We start from the raw sequence: 19,135 nt of genomic DNA on the forward strand, positions 1-19,135 counted from the left end.
TTGCTTCTGATCTTATAGGAAAAGCATTCAGTCTTTCATCATTACAAATGATCTTAGCTGTGCGTTTTTCACAGACGATCTTTTTCAGTTTGGAGAAGTTTCGTTTTATCACTAGTTTGCTGAGAGTTTTTAATATGATGGATAATGGATTTTGTCAAATGCTTTTTCTGAATCTATTGAGATGATTATATGGTTTTCCTTTTGTAGTTTGTTAGTATTGTGAATTACATTGATTTTCTTATTGTCAAACTGTGTTTGCATTTCCAGGATAAACTCCACATAGACATGATATATTATCCATTTTATATATAATTGTATTTGTTTTCTCAAAAGTTTGGTTAGAACATTTGCACCAATATCCATGAAAGATACTGGTTTGTAGTTTTGTTTTGTCTTTGTACTGTCTTTGCTTTGTTTTGGTATAAGAGTATGCTGATCTCATAGACATAGTTGAGAAGTATTCGCTCCTCAATTTTCCGGAGTAATTTGTATATACTTGGCATTATTTCTTTGTAAAATGTTTTTCAAATTTCACCAGTTAAGTCACCTGGGCTTAGAGTTTTCTTTTATTATTATTATTATTATTATACTTTAAGTTTTAGGGTACATGTGCACATTGTGCAGGTTAGTTACGTATGTATACATGTGCCATGCTGGTGTGCTGCACCCACTAACTCGTCATTTAGCATTAGGTATATCTCCCAATGCTATCCCTCCCGCCTCCCTCCACCCCACAACAGTCCCCAGAGTGTGATGTTCCCCTTCCTGTGTCCATGTGTTCTCATTGTTCAATTCCCACCTATGAGTGAGAATATGTGGTGTTTGGTTTTTTGTTCTTGAGAGAGTTTACTGAGAATGATGATTTCCAATTTCATCCATGTCCCTACAAAGGACATGAACTCATCATTTTTTTGTGGCTGCATAGTATTCCATGGTGTATATGTGCCACATTTTCTTAATCCAGTCTATCATTGTTGGATATTTGGGTTGGTTCCAAGTCTTTGCTATTGTGAATAGTGCCGCAATGAACATACGTGTGCATGTGTCTTTATAGCAGCATGATTTATAGTCCTTTGGGTATATACCGAGTAATGGGATGGCTGGGTCAATTGGTATTTCTAGTTCTAGATCCCTGAGGAATCCCCACACTGACTTCCAGAAGGGTTGAACTAGTTTACAGTCCCACCAACAGTGTAAAAGTGTTCCTATTTCTCCACATCCTCTCCAGCACCTGTTGTTTCTTGACTTTTTAATGATTGCCATTCTAACTGGTGTGAGATGGTATCTCATTGTGGTTTTGATTTGCATTTCTCTGATGGCCAGTGATCATGAGCATTTTTTCATGTGTTTTTTGGCTGCTATAAGAAGGTTTTTATTTTCAAATAGAATTTGTTAAACAAATATAATCCTAATCAGGCGATCTACTTACTCTTGAGTGTGTTTTGGTAGTCTGTATCTTTCAAGTAACATGTACATTTTATGTGAGTTGCCATATATATTAACACAAAGTTGTTTATAATATTGCCTTATTTTTCTTTTAATATCTGTAAGATGATATCTGTGATGTCATCTCTCTTAGTCCCGGTATTGGTAATTTGTGTCTTCTCTGTCCTATTTTCCTGATCTGTCTGGTGAGAAAATTTATCAATATTGCCAATCTTCTCAAACAACCAGCATTTGGTTTCACTGATCCTATCTTTAGCATTTTCTGTTTTCTATTTCATTGATTTCTGCTATCTTTATTATTTCTTATTTTGAATTTTATTTGCTTTTATTTTTCTTGCTTCTTAAGGTAGAAGTTAAAGTAATTGGTTTTAGTCCTTTTTCTTTTAAAATATAGGCAGCTAGTTATATATATATATATATATATATATATTTGTTTGTTTGTTTGTTTGTTTGTTTGAGATGGAGTCTCTCTCTGTCACCAGGCTGGAGTGCAGTGGCACGATCTGGGCTCAATGCAACCTCTGCCTCCCAGGTTCAAGCGATTCTCCTGCCTCAGCCTCCTGAGTAGCTGGGATTACAGGCGAGCACCACCATGCCCAGCTAGTTTTTGTATTTTTTAGTAGAGACGGGTTTTCACCATGTTGGCCAGGATGGTCTCAATCTCTTGACCTCGTGATCCGCCTGCCTCGGCCTCCCAAAGTGCTGGGATTACAGGCGTGAGCCAACATGCCCAGCCTGATATGATATATTTTTAAGTACTGATTTAGCAGCATCTTAAAAATTTTGTGCTTTTTATTTACTTTAAAATACTCCTTAATTTCCTGTTTATTTTTTCTTTGATCTGTAGTTTTTCAGATGCTGTTACATAGTTTCTAACATTTTGAGATTTTCCAGATAAATTCTGTTATTTATTTCCAGTTTAATTTTATTAGGGTAAGAAAACATATTTTTGTATGACTTAAATCTATTTTAAAATTAATGATACTTGTTTAAGGCCCAGAATGTATTCAATCACGGTAAATGTTCCATAAGTATTTCATGAGAATGTATGCGAATGTACGCTTTACTACTATTAGGCGCAGTGCTTTATGCTATGTCAAGTTTGTTAAGTTGTCTAAGTCTTCAACTTCTAAATCCTTACCAATGTTTTGTCTACTTGTTAATGAGAGAAAAGTATTGAAATATCTTACTATATCTGTGGATTTGTTTTTCCTTCATGTATTTTGAACCTCTGTTCTTCTAGTAAGGATTTTTAGCATTTCTAAGTGCTTGTGATGAATTATTTCACATTTTATGTGACTTAAAAGTCATTAATTTGCCTCCATTTATGGAATATGTTTTAGATGAATATAGAATTTTAAATTGATTCATTTTCTTTCAATACTAAATAATTATTGCTTTACTGTCTTCTTGCTTGCCTTTTTCCTGAAGCAAAATCTGTCATTCTAATTTTTGTTCCTATACACATAATAATTTTTGCCCTCTGGCTACTTTCAAGGTTTTCTCTTTGGCATTGGCTTTAAGAATTTAATTGTGCTACTGTCTGGTATAGTTTTCTTCACATTTCATGTTCTTGGGATTTGCTGGGCTTTTTGGATGTGCAGGTTTGTATTTTTCATAATATATAGAAAAATTTAAGCCATTATCTCTTCAAGTAGTTTACTCTGTACCATCCCTCTACTTTCTTGTGGGGAACTTCAATTTTATATACATTTGGCTTCTTAGTTCTTTTTTCTGCGTTTCATTTTCAATGCTTTATAGTTGCACGACTTCAGGTTCAGTAATTTTTCTCCACAATGTCTAATTTGTCATTAATTTCTCCCAGTGTATTTTTTATCTCTGACATTGTGATTTACATCTCCATAAGTTTGTGTTTTTTATATATTTCACATTTCTAATTAACTTTTTGAACCTTTAGAATACATTTATAATAATTTTAAATGTCTCTTTTGATAATTCTAACATCTGTGTCAGGTGTATGTTGATTTTAATTAATAATTAATTATGTTATAACTAATTAAGTTATCACTTCCTACTTCTTTGTATGCCTAGTAAACTTTGATTGAATGCCAGGCATTGTAAATTTTACCTTATTGGGTACCAGATGCTAATATTTTTATGCATTTTCTTCAGTTTCATTCTGGAATGAAGTTAAAATGCTTGGAAATCTTTTTATCCTTTTGGGTCTTTGAGTTTTTTAAGGAGAGATCAGACCTGCGTTTAGTGCAGAACTAATTATTCTCCACTACTATTGCTAGTCTTTTCTGAATATTTTATCCATTGCTTTGTGAAATATTAGGTTTTGCTATGTTAGTGGTACAAAGAGGCACAATTCATGGTCATGTGTGAGAGTCAGGCAGTGTTCCCTCTAATCTCTGATGATTCTTTCCTTAGCCCTGGTTATTTTCCACACACACGTGACAATAAGTACTGCTGCATACTAAAAGGAGACTCCTCACAGATCTCCAGAGTTCTTTCTCTGTGCAGCAGTCTCTTCTCTGGTACTCTGTTCTGTGAACTTTTGCTAATTTTGTCTTCCATATCAGTCCTATCTCCTCAAGTGAGGGCATCTGCTGTACTCCACCTGAGTTTTCCCTCCCTGCCATGGCCTGGAAAAGCTCTAAAAGCCATACGTTGGGCCAATAGTAGAGTTCACCTCATTTGTTTTCTATTCCTCAGAGTTCACTTTCATTTGTTGCCTGATCTTGTTTATCATATTTTTATTTGTGTACCTGTGTTTCCTTGTATCCTTATAATAAAATATCAGCTCCATGAAGTTCAGGCCTTTGGTTCAGTGTTGAGTACAATAGCAGCTACCATCTTTCTACTATGTTCTAGCACTTATGCTCACTATCACCCTGGGAGGTAAGTTTTATTAGTTTTATTTGCACTTGAGCAAGCATGCGCTGAATGCTAGACAGACTTGCCCTCCAGTGATACAAAGCATGTAAGAAGTGACAAAGTTTTTGTTTGACCTGAAGTCACTTAGGGAAGCCAAGTGGGATTTTGTTTTGCCATATATAGTATCGTTAGGCAGATTCATATCAACATGACTGAAGGCTCACTAAGGACAGTCACCACAATTTTGCTCCATTTTTACCTCTGACTCCTAGTCCAGTGATCAGAACCCAATAAGAAATCAAGAATTACTCGATACATCTTTCTTTTTGGGGGGAGTAGGTCCATTTTTAATAAAATTGTATTTATATGAAATGATATGACACTCTTTTATTGGGTTGAGAATTATCCAGTAGGGAAGAAAGTTAGGATCTAGAAGTCTAATAGTTGGAACAAGAGCCACCAGGAGTCGATGATGTATGTTATAACTTGGTAGTTGGTACAAGGGATTTTCTTGTATTATTCTATCTAATTATTTGTATTTTTGACATATGCCATTGAAATAAATAAAACTGATGTTATGTAATGGGATTCATTCTATAATGATATTCTTCAGTAACTCTCCCACACATCATTTTGGATTTATTTTTCTCTAAGTGTCAAAACAAAAGTTTAATTAATTCAACAATTAAAGATAGGTGGATTTGCTGTCATTTTGTGAGTGAAGAATTTATCTATGTTGCAATAAAGTCATTTCAATTACCAAAGTTATCTGCCTGCCACATTTTTTGGAAGCACTTATTTTGAAGGAAAAGGCTTTGAAATTTTAGGACTTTTGTTTGAATCACACATGTGCACCTATTGCTATGTGACTTTCTACATTCTAAAAATCATAACTCACACATTCTTGAGAAAATTAAAGGAGATAAAGCATTAAAGCACCAAGCATAGTACTAAAATATCAAAAGGACTCAATTAGTATTATGATGGCGTTGTTTTTAGAGCCAAAATTCAAATGTAGCCATTGTCATGACTGGACACAACTCTAGTGTTTAGAAAGCCATTTCACATATACACATCTAACTCAGCATATTATCTCCACTTCATTAGTGGAAAAGTATGTTTCAGACAGTTCTGATAGCAAGGATATTAGGTAGAACAGAGTGCAAGGTGAAAAAGAACACAAGTGTCTGGTTTCTAGTCCACTGTACTTTTCTTCTTTGGTCAGGAAATATCTGCCATTTTATCCCCTTTGCCCCCAGGCCTGTTATGGTACCCAATGACAAAAGCTAATACCTTAGGAATCATCCAGACTAATACCTCTTTCTTCCACTTCCTAATTTATGCTTCAATTTCTTTATTCCAGCCTATTTTATTTCCATATTTCCTACCACAGCCCACACCACCTCATTATCCATTGTCTTTCTAGACATACTCTGTTCATTTTATGCATGCCATGTACCAGGCACTGTACTCAGAGCTGGGGACACAATGGTGAAGGAAACATATTCCTTGACCTTTGGCAGGTCTGGGACTAATGGGTGATTCAGACAAAGAACTGCTTGTTTACAACACAGGAAGACTAGGGTTGTGGTAGAGGAAGTACAGAGTGCCATGAGAGCTTTGAATCTCATGTAATTAATAATCCTATCTGGGTCTGTTTCCTTGAGCAGGAATACAGGGGTTGTCCCTTCCTATATGTGTGTCTTTTGCAACAAGAGAACCCTTCCCAGAAATGCTCTGTTCCCAAATTCCATTTACAGATAATATTTTATTTTCTGAGCCTGAATGAAATCTTGGTTATATTTGGGACATTAAAACAGAGCCTTCACCACATGCAATCCAGTGACATTCCAAGTAAAAAAAAAAAAATTGTGCATTTTCATTCAGCTTTACTTGTGGTAGATGAAAAGAAAATTGATGTTGACAAAGTTTTTCCATCTGCTATTACTGCTATTACCTTCATCCTAACAGCTGAGTTGTGCAACTGTGATGGTGTCTCTCTTTACACCAATATATAAGAGGCTCTATGGAAACTGGACTGAGTGAAACAGACATAGACCCAGCCATCATGGGGCTTACAAGATATTATAACAAACTGTGATGAGTGCTTTCTGATATGGGGAGTACAGGATGCTATGACCATTAGTGCAGGAATCTATTCGAGTTTATGAGAATTTATGCCTTTTCTGTGTTTTCCATATTGGAAACACAACCAAGATTTTGAACTCATTTATTAGGTGTTTTATGCTAATAAAAATTATAATATTAGGGTGTAAATCATTGAATACATTATTCACAGATATGCTGTGGCAAGTGGCACTAGCAGTGGAGAAATGGATATTTTAGGAAGTGGAATATTCATAGACAGTTTTATTGAATCTGTTGGAAAATCCAAATGGTATGGCTTAGGCTTCTTCAGAATTTCTAGAAGAATTCCTGCAGTTAGCTGGCAGCAGATTTCTGTCTCAAAAGTGTCCAGAACGTGAGCCTCTTGCATCAGGAATATAGCTCATTTAGGATGCTGTCCTTTGCAATAAGAGTTCCATTTAGCACTTTCAGGCGAAATAGTATCAAGTACCAAAAAAGAGGCTGCCTCTGCTTGTGAGCCTCTTTATAAATATGAACGAAAATTTTCTTTTTTTTTGATAAAGCAAAAAGCAATATGGACATTGTTTATTTCACAGTAAAATACAGTATAACTGGCAAAGTGTTGAAGCTGATAACTATTCATCGTTAGGTAACTGATTTATACATTACAGACCAACACAAGTTTCTGCTCTCCTGTCATTAATTACATTTTACTATAATTATATCATGATGCATATAAACTTAGAAATTATCATACTACAAAAATGATTTAACAGCACATTTTATGCATCTTAATAAGCACAGACTCAGACTCTTAATCTTTTCGAAAACAAGGATGTTAAATTCTATCCTTGTTCTGAACTTCATAATGCTTTTCATAGAAGACTACCATCTCTTTGTCTCCAACATTCCACATGCCTCAAAAATCTATTTATGGAATGGAAGGTGGACATTTAGGGGTACTGTAGAACACAAAATGTGCTTCAATTCTTCTTAATCCTAAATAAGCCTTATTTTCCCAGTCTGTCTTTTTTTTTCAAATTCATTGTTTTTTTTTAAATTTAATTTTATTATTATTATACTTTAAGTTTTAGGGTACATGTACACAATGTGCAGGTTAGTTACATATGTATATACGTATATGTGCCATGCTGGTGTGCTGCACCCATTAACTCATCATTTAGCATTAGGTATACCTCCTAAAGCTATCCCTCCCCCCTCCCCCCACCCCCCACCCCAAAACAGTCCCCAGAGTGTGATGTTCCCCTTCCTGTGTCCATGTGTTCTCATTGTTCAATTCCCACCCATGAGTGAGAATACGTGGTATTTGGTTTTTTGTTCTTGGGAGAGTTTACTGAGAATGATGATTTCCAATTTCATCCATGTCCCTACAAAGGACATGAACTCATCATTTTTTATGGCTGCATAGTATTCCACGGTGTATATGTGCCACATTTTCTTAATCCAGTCTATCATTGTGGGAAATTTGGGTTGGTTCCAGGTCTTTGCTATTGTGAATAGTGCCACAGTAAACATACGTGTGCATGTGTCTTTATAGCGGCATGATTTATAGTCCTTTGGGTATATACCCAGTAATGGGATGGCTGGGTCAAATGGTATTTCTACTTCTAGATCCCTGAGGAATCCCCACACTGACTTCCAGAAGGGTTGAACTAGTTTAGAGTCCCACCAACAGTGTAAAAGTGTTCCTATTTCTCCACATCCTCTCCAGCATCTGTTGTTTCCTGACTTTTTAATGATTGCCATTCTAACTGGTGTGAGATGGTATCTCATTGTGGTTTTGATGTGCATTTCTCTGATGGCCAGTGATGGTGAGCATTTTTTCATGTGTTTTTTGGCTGCATAAATGTCTTCTTTTGAGAAGTGTCTGTTCATGTCCTTCACCCACTTTTTGATGGGGTTGTTTGTTTTTTAATTGTAAATTTGTTTGAGTTCATTGTAGATTCTGGATATTAGCCCTTTGTCAGATGAGTAGGTTGCAAAAATTTTCTCCCATTTTGTAGGTTGCCTGTTCACTCTGATGGTAGTTTCTTTTGCTGTGCAGAAGTTCTTGAGTTTATTTAGATCCCATTTGTCAATTTTGTCTTTTGTTGCCATTGCTTTTGGTGTTTTAGACATGAAGTCCTTGCCCATGCCTATGTCCTGAATGGTATTGCCTAGGTTTTCTTCTAGGGTTCTTATGGTTTTAGGTCTAACGTTTAAGTCTTTAATCCATCTTGAATTGATTTTTGTATAAGGTGTAAGGAAGGGATCCAGTTTCAGCTTTCTACATATGGCTAGCCAGTTTTCCCAGCACCATTTATTAAATAGGGAATCCTTTCCCCATTGCTTGTTTTTCTCAGGTTTGTCAAAGATCAGATAGTTGTAGATATGCGGCGTTATTTCTGAGGGCTCTGTTCTGTTCCATTGATCTATATCTCTGTTTTGGTACCAGTACCATGCTGTTTTGGTTACTGTAGCCTTGTAGTATAGTTTGAAGTCAGGTAGTGTGATGCCTCCAGCTTTGTTCTTTTGGCTTAGGATTGACTTGGCGATGCGGGCTCTTTTTTGGTTCCATATGAACTTTAAAGTAGTTTTTTCCAATTCTGTGAAGAAAGGCATTGGTAGCTTGATGGGGATGGCATGGAATCTATAAGTTACCTTGGGCAGTATGGCCATTTTCACGATATTGATTCTTCCTACCCATGAGCATGGAATGTTCTTCCATTTGTTTGTATCCTCTTTAATTTCATTGAGCAGTGGTTTGTAGTTCTCCTTGAAGAGGTCCTTCACATCCCTTGTAAGTTGGATTCCCAGGTATTTTATTCTCTTTTAAGCAATTGTGAATGGGAGTTCACTCATGATTTGGCTCTCTGTTTGTCTGTTATTGGTGTATAAGAATGCTTGTGATTTTTGTACATTGATTTTGTATCCTGAGACTTTGCTGAAGTTGCTTATCAGCTTAAGGAGATTTTGGGCTGAGACAATGGGGTTTTCTAGATATACAATCATGTCATCTGCAAACAGGGACAATTTGACTTCCTCTTTTCCTAATTGAATACCCTTTATTTCCTTCTCCTGCCTAATTGCCCTGGCCAGAACTTCCAACACTATGTTGAATAGGAGCGGTGAGAGAGGGCATCCCTGTCTTGTGCCAGTTTTCAAAGGACGTTTTCTAAAAACTCATTAACCCCAAATTCCATTTTTCAGTTACCATTTCTGAGCCTGTATAATACTTTGGTCAACTTGGGATGTTAGAAATTATCCTCCATCACGTTTCACCTAGGAAAAACATCCGATTCCAAAAATGTCACTGAAATTGGCAGAGTAAAGACCTCTGAAAAAATTTATCCTTTATAAAAGCAATGAGAACACCAACAAAAAGTATCATAATTAGCATTTTCAGAATGTTGGAATAAACCAAAAGCTTGCAGCAATCTGGAGAGTATTTATTCAGGAAAAATAACAGAATCTCAATAATAGTACATTTTATGGTGTTTTAATATGCCCTATTCCCAATATTTCCACATTATATAATTTTAAAGGTGCAGTTTTGAACAAAAAATTATAAGACATGCAAAGAAACATAAAAGTCTCAGCCATACACAGGAAAAAAGGCAGCCAATAGTGACTATCCCTGAAACCCAGATGTTGGTCTCATTAGACAGAGACTCCAAATAAGCTATTATAAATATATTCAAATAAGTAAAGGAAACCATGTCTGTAAAAACCAAAGGAAAGTATAGGAATGATTTATTACCAAATAATCATTATCAATAAAGATATGGAAATTATATTTTAAAATAACAAATATAAATTCTGAAGTTGAAAATTACAGTAACTAAAATTTAAAAATTTACTAGAGAAGGTGATTTCTGCATTTCCATCTGAGGTACTGGGTTCATCTCACTAGGGAGTGCCAGACAGTGGGCGCAGGTCAGTGGGTGCAGCGCACTGTGCGTGAGCCAAAGCAGGGCAAGGCATTGCCTCACTCGGGAAGCGCAAGGGGTCAGGGAGTTCCCTTTCCTAGTCAAAGAACGGGGTGACAGATGGCACCTGGAAAATCGGGTCACTCCCACCCCAATACTGCGCTTTTCCGACGGGCTTAAAAAACGGCGCACCAGGAGATTATATCCTGCAACTGGCTCAGAGGGTCCTATGCCCACGGAGTCTCGCTGATTGCTAGCACAGCAGTCTGAGATCAAACTGCAAGGTGACAGCGAGGCTGGGGGAGGGGCGCTTTGGTAAACAAAGCAGCTGGAAAGCTCTAACGGGGTGGAGCCCACCACAGCTCAAGGAGGCCTGCCTGCCTCCGTAGGCTCCACCTCTGGGGGCAGGGCACAGACAAACAAAAAGACAGCAGTAACCTCTGCAGACTTAAATGTCCCTGTCTGACAGCTTTGAAGGGAGCAGTGGTTCTCCCAGCGCACAGCTGGAGATCTGAGAACAGGCAGACTGCCTCCTCGAGTGGGTTCCTGACCCCTGACCCCTGAGCAGCCTAACTGGGAGGCACCCCCCAGTAGGGGCAGACTGACACCTCATACTGCCGGGTACTCCTCTGAGACAAAAATTCCAGAGGAACGATCAGACAGCAGCATTCGTGGTTCACGAAAAACCACTGTTCTGCAGCCACTGAAGCTGGTATCCAGGCAACCAGGGTCTGGAGTGGACCTGTGGACCTCTAGCAAACTCCAACAGACCTGCAGCTGAGGGTCCTGTCTGTTAGAAGGAAAACTAACAAACAGAAGGACAGCCACACCAAAAACCCATCTGTACATCACTATCATCAAAGACCAAAAGTAGATAAAACCACAAAGATGGGGAAAAAACAGAGCAGAAAAATTGGAAACTCTAAAAAGCAGAGCACGTCTCCTCCTCCAAAGGATCGCAGTTCCTCACCAGCAATGGAACAAAGCTGGACGGAGAATGACTTTGACAAGTTGAGAGAAGAAGGCTTCAGATGATCAAACTACGAGCTACAGGAGGAAATTCAAACCAAAGGCAAAGAAGTTAAAAACTTTGAAAAAAACTTAGACGAATGTATAACTAGAATAACCAACACAGAGAAGTGCTTAAAGGATCTGACGGAGCTGAAAGCCAAGGCACGAGAACTAAGTGAAGAATGCAGAAGCCTCAGGAGCCGATGTGATAAACTGGAAGAAAGGGTATCAGTGATGGAAGTTGAAATGAATGAAATGAAGCAAGAAGGGAAGTTTAGAGAAAAAAAGATAAAAAGAAATGAACAAAGCCTCCAAGAAATATGGGAGATTGTGAAAAGACCAAATCTATGTCTGATTGGTGTACCTGAAAGTGATGGGGAGAATAGAACCAAGTTGGAAAACACTCTGCAGGATATTATCCAGGAGAACTTCCCCAATCTAGCAAGGCAGGCCAACGTTCAGATTCAGGAAATACAGAGAACACCACAAAGATACTCCTCGAGAAGAGCAACTCCAAGACACATAATTGTCAGATTCACCGAAGTGGAAATGAAGGAAAAAATGTTAAGGGCAGCCAGAGAGAAAGGTCGGGTTACCCACAAAGGGAAGCCCATCAGACTAACAGTGGATCTCTCAGCAGAAACTCTACAAGCCAGAAGAGAGTGGGGGCCAATATTCAACATTCTTAAAGAAAAGAATTTTCAACCCAGAATTTCATATCCAGCCAAAGTAAGCTTCATAAGTGAAGGAGAAATAAAATCCTTTACAGACAAGCAAATGCTGAGAGATTTTGTCACCACCAGGCCTGCCCTAAAAGAGCTCCTGAAGGAAGCACTAAACATGGAAAGGAACAACCGGTACCAGCCACTGCAAAATCATGCCAAAATGTAAAGGCCATCGAGACTAGGAAGAAACTGCATCAACTAACGAGCAAAATAACCAGCTAACTTCATAATGACAGGTTCAAATTCACACATAACAATATTAACTTTAAATGTAAATGGACTAAATGCTCCAATTAAAAGACACAGACTGGCAAATTGGATAAAGAGTCAAGACCCATCAGTGTGTTGTATTCAGGAAACCGATCTCACATGCAGAGACACACACAGGCTCAAAATAAAAGGATGGAGGAAGATCTACCAAGCAAATGGAAAACAAAAAAAGGCAGGGGTTGCAATCCTAGTCTCTGATAAAACAGACTTTCAACCAACAAAGATCAAAAGAGACAAAGAAGGCCATTACATAATGGTAAAGGGATCAATTCAACAAGAAGAGCTAACTATCCTAAATATATATGCACCCAATACAGGAGCACCCAGATTCATAAAGCAAGTCCTGAGTGACCTACAAAGAGACTTAGACTCCCACACATTAATAATGGGAGACTTTAACACCCCACTGTCAACATTAGACAGATCAACGAGACAGAAAGTTAACAAGGATACCCAGGAATTGAACTCAGCTGTGCACCAAGCGGACCTAATAGACATCTACAGAACTCTCCACCCCAAATCAACAGAATATACATTTTTTTCAGCACCACACCACATCTATTCCAAAATTACTTCCACATAGTTGGAAGTAAAGCTCTCCTCAGCAAATGTAAAAGAACAGAAATTATAACTAACTATCTCTCAGACCACGGTGCAATCAAACTAGAACTCAGGATTAAGAAACTCACTCAAAACTGCTCAACTACGTGGAAACTGAACAATCTGCTCCTGAATGACTACTGGGTACATAACGAAATGAAGGCAGAAATAAAGATGTTCTTTGAAACCAATGAGAACACAGACACAACATACCAGAATCTCTGGGATACATTCAAAGCAGTGTGTAGAGGGAAATTCATAGCAGTAAATGCCCACAAGAGAAAGCAGGAAAGATCCAAGATTCACACCCTAACATCACAATTAAAAGAACTAGAAAAGCAAGAGCAAACACATTCAAAAGCTAGCAGAAGGCAAGAAATAACTAAAATCAGAGCAGAACTGAAGGAAATACAGACACAAAAAACCCTTCAAAAAATTTATGAATCCAGGAGCTGGTTTTTTGAAAGGATCAACAAAATTCATAGACCGCTAGCAAGACTAATAAAGAAAAAAAGAGATAAGAATCAAATAGATGCAATAAAAAATGATAAAGGGGATATCACCACCAATCCCACAGAAATACAAACTACCATCAGAGAATACTATAAACACCTCTATGCAAATAAACTAGAAAATCTAGAGGAAATGGATAAATTCCTTGACACATACACTCTCCCAAGACTAAACCAGGAAGAAGTTGAATCTCTGAATAGACCACTAACAGGAGCTGAAATTGTGGCAATAATGAATAGCTTACCAACCAAAAAGAGTCCAGGACCAGATGGATTCACAGCCAAATTCTACCAGAGGTACAAGGAGGAACTGGTACCATTCCTTCTGAAACTATTCCAATCAATAGAAAAAGAGGGAATCCTCCCTAACTCATTTTATGAGGCCAGCATCATTCTGATACCAAAGCCGGGCAGAGACACAACTAAAAAAGAGAATTTTAGACCAATATCCTTGATGAACACTGATGCAAAAATCTTCAATAAAATACTGGCAAACCAAATCCAGCAGCACATCAAAAAGCTTATCCACCATGATCAAATGGGCTTCATCCCTGGGATGCAAGGCTGGTTCAATATACACAAATCAATAAATGTAATCCAGCATATAAACAGAACCAAAGACAAAAACCACATGATTATCTCAATAGATGCAGAAAAGGCCTTTGACAAAATTCAACAACGCTTCATGCTAAAAACTCTCAATAAATTAGGTATTGATGGGACGTATCTCAAAATAATAAGAGCTATCTATGACAAACCCACAGCCAATATCATACTGAATGGGCAAAAACTGGAAGCATTCCCTTTGAAAACTGGCACAAGACAGGGATGCCCTCTCTCACCACTCCTATTCAACATAGTGTTGGAAGTTCTGGCCAGGGCAATTAGGCAGGAGAAGGAAATAAAGGGTATTCAATTAGGAAAAGAGGAAGTCAAATTGTCCCTGTTTGCAGATGACATGATTGTATATCTAGAAAACCCCATTGTCTCAGCCCAAAATCTCCTTAAGCTGATAAGCAACTTCAGCAAAGTCTCAGGATACAAAATCAATGTACAAAAATCACAAGCATTCTTATACACCAATAACAGACAAACAGAGAGCCAAATCATGAGTGAACTCCCATTCACAATTGCTTCAAAGAGAATCAAATACCTAGGAATCCAACTTACAAGGGACGTGAAGGACCTCTTCAAGGAGAACTACAAACCACTGCTCAATGAAATTAAAGAGGATACAAACAAATGGAAGAACATTCCATGCTCATGGGTAGGAAGAATCAATATCGTGAAAATGGCCATACTGCCCAAGGTAACTTATAGATTCAATGCCATCCCCATCAAGCTACCAATGCCTTTCTTCACAGAATTGGAAAAAACTACTTTAAAGTTCATATGGAACCAAAAAAGAGCCCGCATAGCCAAGTCAATCCTAAGCCAAAAGAACAAAGCTGGAGGCATCATGCTACCTGACTTCAAACTATACTACAAGGCTACAGTAACCAAAACAGCATGGTACTGGTACCAAAACAGAGATATAGATCAATGGAACAGAACAGAGCCCTCAGAAATAATGCCGCATATCTACAACTATCTGATCTTTGACAAACCTGAGAAAAACAAGCAATGGGGAAAGGATTCCCTATTTAATAAATGGTGCTGGGAAAACTGGCTAGCCATATGTAGAAAGCTGAAACTGGATCCCTTCCTTACACCTTATACAAAAATCAATTCAAGATGGATTAAAGACTTAAATGTTAGACCTAAAACCATAAAAACCCTAGAAGAAAACCTAGGCATTACCATTCAGGACATAGGCACGGGCAAGGGCTTCATGTCTAAAACACCAAAAGCAATGGCAACAAAAGACAAAATTGACAAATGGGATCTAATTAAACTAAAGAACTTCTGCACAGCAAAAGAAACTACCATCAGAGTGAACAGGCAACCTACAAAATGGGAGAAAATTTTCGCAACCTACTCATCTGACAAAGGGCTAATATCCAGAATCTACAATGAACTCAAACAAATTTACAAGAAAAAAACAACCTCATCAAAAAGTGGGTGAAGGACATGAACAGACACTCCTCAAAAGAAGACATTTATGCAGCCAAAAAACACATGAAAAAATGCTCACCATCACTGGCCATCAGAGAAATGCAAATCAAAACCACAATGAGATACCATCTCACACCAGTTAGAATGGCAATCATTAAAAAGTCAGGAAACAACAGATGCTGGAGAGGATGTGGAGAAATAGGAACACTTTTACACTGTTGGTGGGACTCTAAACTAGTTCAACCATGTGGAAGTCAGTGTGGCGATTCCTCAGGGATCTAGAACTTGAAATGCCATTTGACCCAGCCATCCCATTACTGGGTATATACCCAAAGGATTATAAATCATGCTGCTATAAAGACACATGCACAAGTATGTTTATTGCGGCACTATTCACAATAGCAAAGACTTGGAACCAACCCACATGTCCAACAATGATAGACTGGATTAAGAAAATGTGGCACATATACACCATGGAATACTATGCAGCCACAAAAAATGATAAGTTCATGTCCTTTGTAGGGACATGGATGAAATTGGAAATCATCATTCTCAGTAAACTATCGCAAGAACAAAAAACCAAACACCGCATATTCTCACTCATAGGTGGGAATTGAACAATGAGAACACATGGACACAGGAAGGGGAACATCACACTCTGGGTACTGTTGTGGGGTGGGGGGAGGGGGGAGGGATACCATTGGGAGATATACCTAATGCTAGATGATGAGTTAGTGGGTGCAGCGCACCAGCATGTCACATGTATACATATGTAACTAACCTGCACATTGTGCACATGTACCCTAAAACTTAAAGTATAATAATAATAAAAAAAATTTACTAGAGAAGTACAACAGCAGATTTGGGCAGGCAGAAGAATCAGCAAACTTGAAATTATCCAGTCCAAGAACCAGAAAGAAAAAAAACCAGAATGAGAAAAAAATGACCAGAACCGTCTACACTATCCAGCACATCAACATAAGCTTAATGGAAAAATCATAGCAGAGAAACACAGGGACAGAAACAACATTTGAAGAAAAAATTGCCAAAACTTCCCAAATTTGATGAAAGAAATCAACCTACACATCTATGAAGCTCAAAAACCTCCAAGTAGGATCAATCAAAGGTATCAGTTAGTCACATCATAATGAAACTGTTGAAAGTCAAAGACAAAAACAGACTCTTGAAAGCAGCAGGAGAGTAGCAACGCATCATGTACAAGGAATCCTCAATAAAAATACTAGCTGATTTCTTACCACAAACCATGGAGAATAGACTTTTAATATATCATAACATATGTCACTTTTAATGACATATTAAAAGTTCTGAAAGAAAAATAATATCAAATAAGAATCCTATAGCCAGCAAAACTATCCTTGAAAAATAAAGGAGAAATTAAGACACTCTCATATAAAGAAAAATGGGAAGAAATGTTGCTAGCAAACTTAACCTACAAGAATAATAAAAGAAATATATGTAGTATAATGTAAAACACAGTATAAATATATTTTTATTATAATTCTCTTTTCTCCTATCTAATTTGAAAGACAACTGCACAGAGCAATAATTATAAATCTGTGTTGATCCGCATACAGTTTGTTAAGATGTAATTTGAATGATAATAACAGACCAAAGGAGGGTGAAGAGAATGGAGCAATATAGAAACAATGTCCTTGTAAACCATTGTAATTTTATTGATATTAACAAACTACAATGCCATAAATTTTTAATTTGTTAATTTTAATTACCAGAGCAATTACTAAGAAATTAAGTTTTAAAATATAGTAAAACAAATGACAAGTGAATTTAAATGGTAAGTTAGAAAATAACACTAAAGAAGGCAGTAATGGAGCAATAAAGGGAAATAAAAACATAAGATATTAAAAAATGGCAAAAGAAGCAGACATAAATTTTACCTTATCGGAAATTACATGCAATATAAATGAATTAAGCACTCCAGTTTACAGGCAGAGCTGGCAGAATGACTTAAAAAATATTTTCCAATTACATTCCATCTACAAGAGACACACTTTATTCTGCCAAATTCATATCAAATTTCAGCTGGGATTTTGCAGAGACTGACAAGGTGATTCTAAAATCCCTACGGATATTTAAGGGACCTTGAATACCAAAAAGGATCTTAAACCTAAAGAACAAACTTGATATTAAAGGTATTAAAGAAAGCCTAAAGAGGTTTGTCTCTTCAAGTTCTTCAAAGACAAAAAGAAGTGGATACTATAAGGATAGAAAAAGATATACCATTCCAATAGTAGCCAAAGGGAACTGGAGTGCCTATGCTAATAAAAGATAAAACCGACTTTAAAACAAAAATGTTACTAACAGCAATGAAAAACATTTTATAAAGATAAAATTATCAATTTATCAAGAACCTATAACAATTATAAGCATATAAGCATCATATAGCAGAGCCCCGGAATACATGAAGAAAAACTGACAGAATTTAAGAGATAAATAGACAGTTTAAAAATAATAGTGAATACTTCAATACTCTACTTTCAATAATGAATAGAACAACTAGATGGAAGATCAACAAGGAAATAGAAGATATGAATAACACTAAAAAACAAACTAGATGTAACAGACATCTAGGAAATACTCTACTCAAAAACAGAAGAATACACATTGTTCTCAAGTGCACAGGGAACATTCTCCAGGATAGATCATATGTTAGACAACAAAACAAGTCCCAATAATATAAAAAATACTGCACTCATATAAAGTATGTTCTCTGGTCACCTGTGAAAAACCCACAGAAAACAACATGTTTTTGCAAAAAGACTGAAAATCTTCCCCTAAGATGAGGAACGTGACAAGGATGTCTGCCTTTGTGACCCCTATTCTGTTATACTGGAGGTTCTAACTGGAGAAATTAGGCATGGGAGAAAAAGGTATCTACATATATAAATTATATAATTATAATTATACATGTATGCAGATGACATGACATTTTATAGAAATAATACTAAAAAATTCACACAAAAACTATTAGAGCCAATAAAAGAGTTCAGCAAGATTGCAGGACAGGAGGTCAATACACACACAAAAAATGGTTGTTTTTCCATCCAGTAGGAATGAAAAGTTTGAAAATAATAATAAAAGACAATTCCATATATAATAGACTCACAAAGAATAAAATACTTAAGAATAAATGTAGCATGGGAAGTGTAAGGTTTACACACTGAAAACCACAAAACTTAATTGAAAGATATTAAATAAAACCTAAATAAATGAAATGACGTTCCATGTTTGTGGATTTTGAGACAGTATTTTTAGATGCCAATACTCCCCAAATTTATCTACAGATTTGACACAATACATACCAAATTCCAGCTGAGATTTTGCAGAGACTGAGAAGCTGATTCTGAAGTCCCTATGGAATTGAATATCCAAGTACTTGGTATTCAATATTAATGAAACTTGAATACCCAAAAGGATCTTAAATATGAAGAACAAACTTGAAGGACACACACTTCTCAATTTCAAATCTTACCCCAAAGGTACTGTAATCAAGACTATGAAGTTCTGGACTACAGATATACATATAGATCAGTGGAATAAAATTAAAGTCCAACAAGAAACCCTCACATTTCTGGTCAATTGATTTTTGACAAGGGTGCTAATGTTAATGTTGTCTTTT

At 36.8% G+C, this 19,135-nt stretch overlaps 1 long non-coding RNA gene across 1 annotated transcript in view, besides 1 other annotated feature; it reads right to left on the reverse strand.

The window, feature by feature from the left end:
- The window catches only part of LOC105373204 (uncharacterized), a 175,604-nt gene that overhangs the window by 30,867 nt on the left and 125,602 nt on the right, over nucleotides 1-19,135 (reverse strand). The window lies entirely within an intron of this gene.
- Nucleotides 10,085-10,586: an enhancer, noted in NCBI's record as "H3K4me1 hESC enhancer chrX:51004797-51005298 (GRCh37/hg19 assembly coordinates)". NCBI's record gives its function as "activates a minimal SCP1, AML or CMV promoter by ChIP-STARR-seq in naive H9 embryonic stem cells {active_cell/tissue: H9 hESC(naive)}" and the evidence as "EXISTENCE:reporter gene assay evidence [ECO:0000049][PMID:30033119]".

This window comes from Homo sapiens, chromosome X, assembly GCF_000001405.40.
Source record: "Homo sapiens chromosome X, GRCh38.p14 Primary Assembly".
Lineage (NCBI taxonomy): Eukaryota > Metazoa > Chordata > Mammalia > Primates > Hominidae > Homo > Homo sapiens.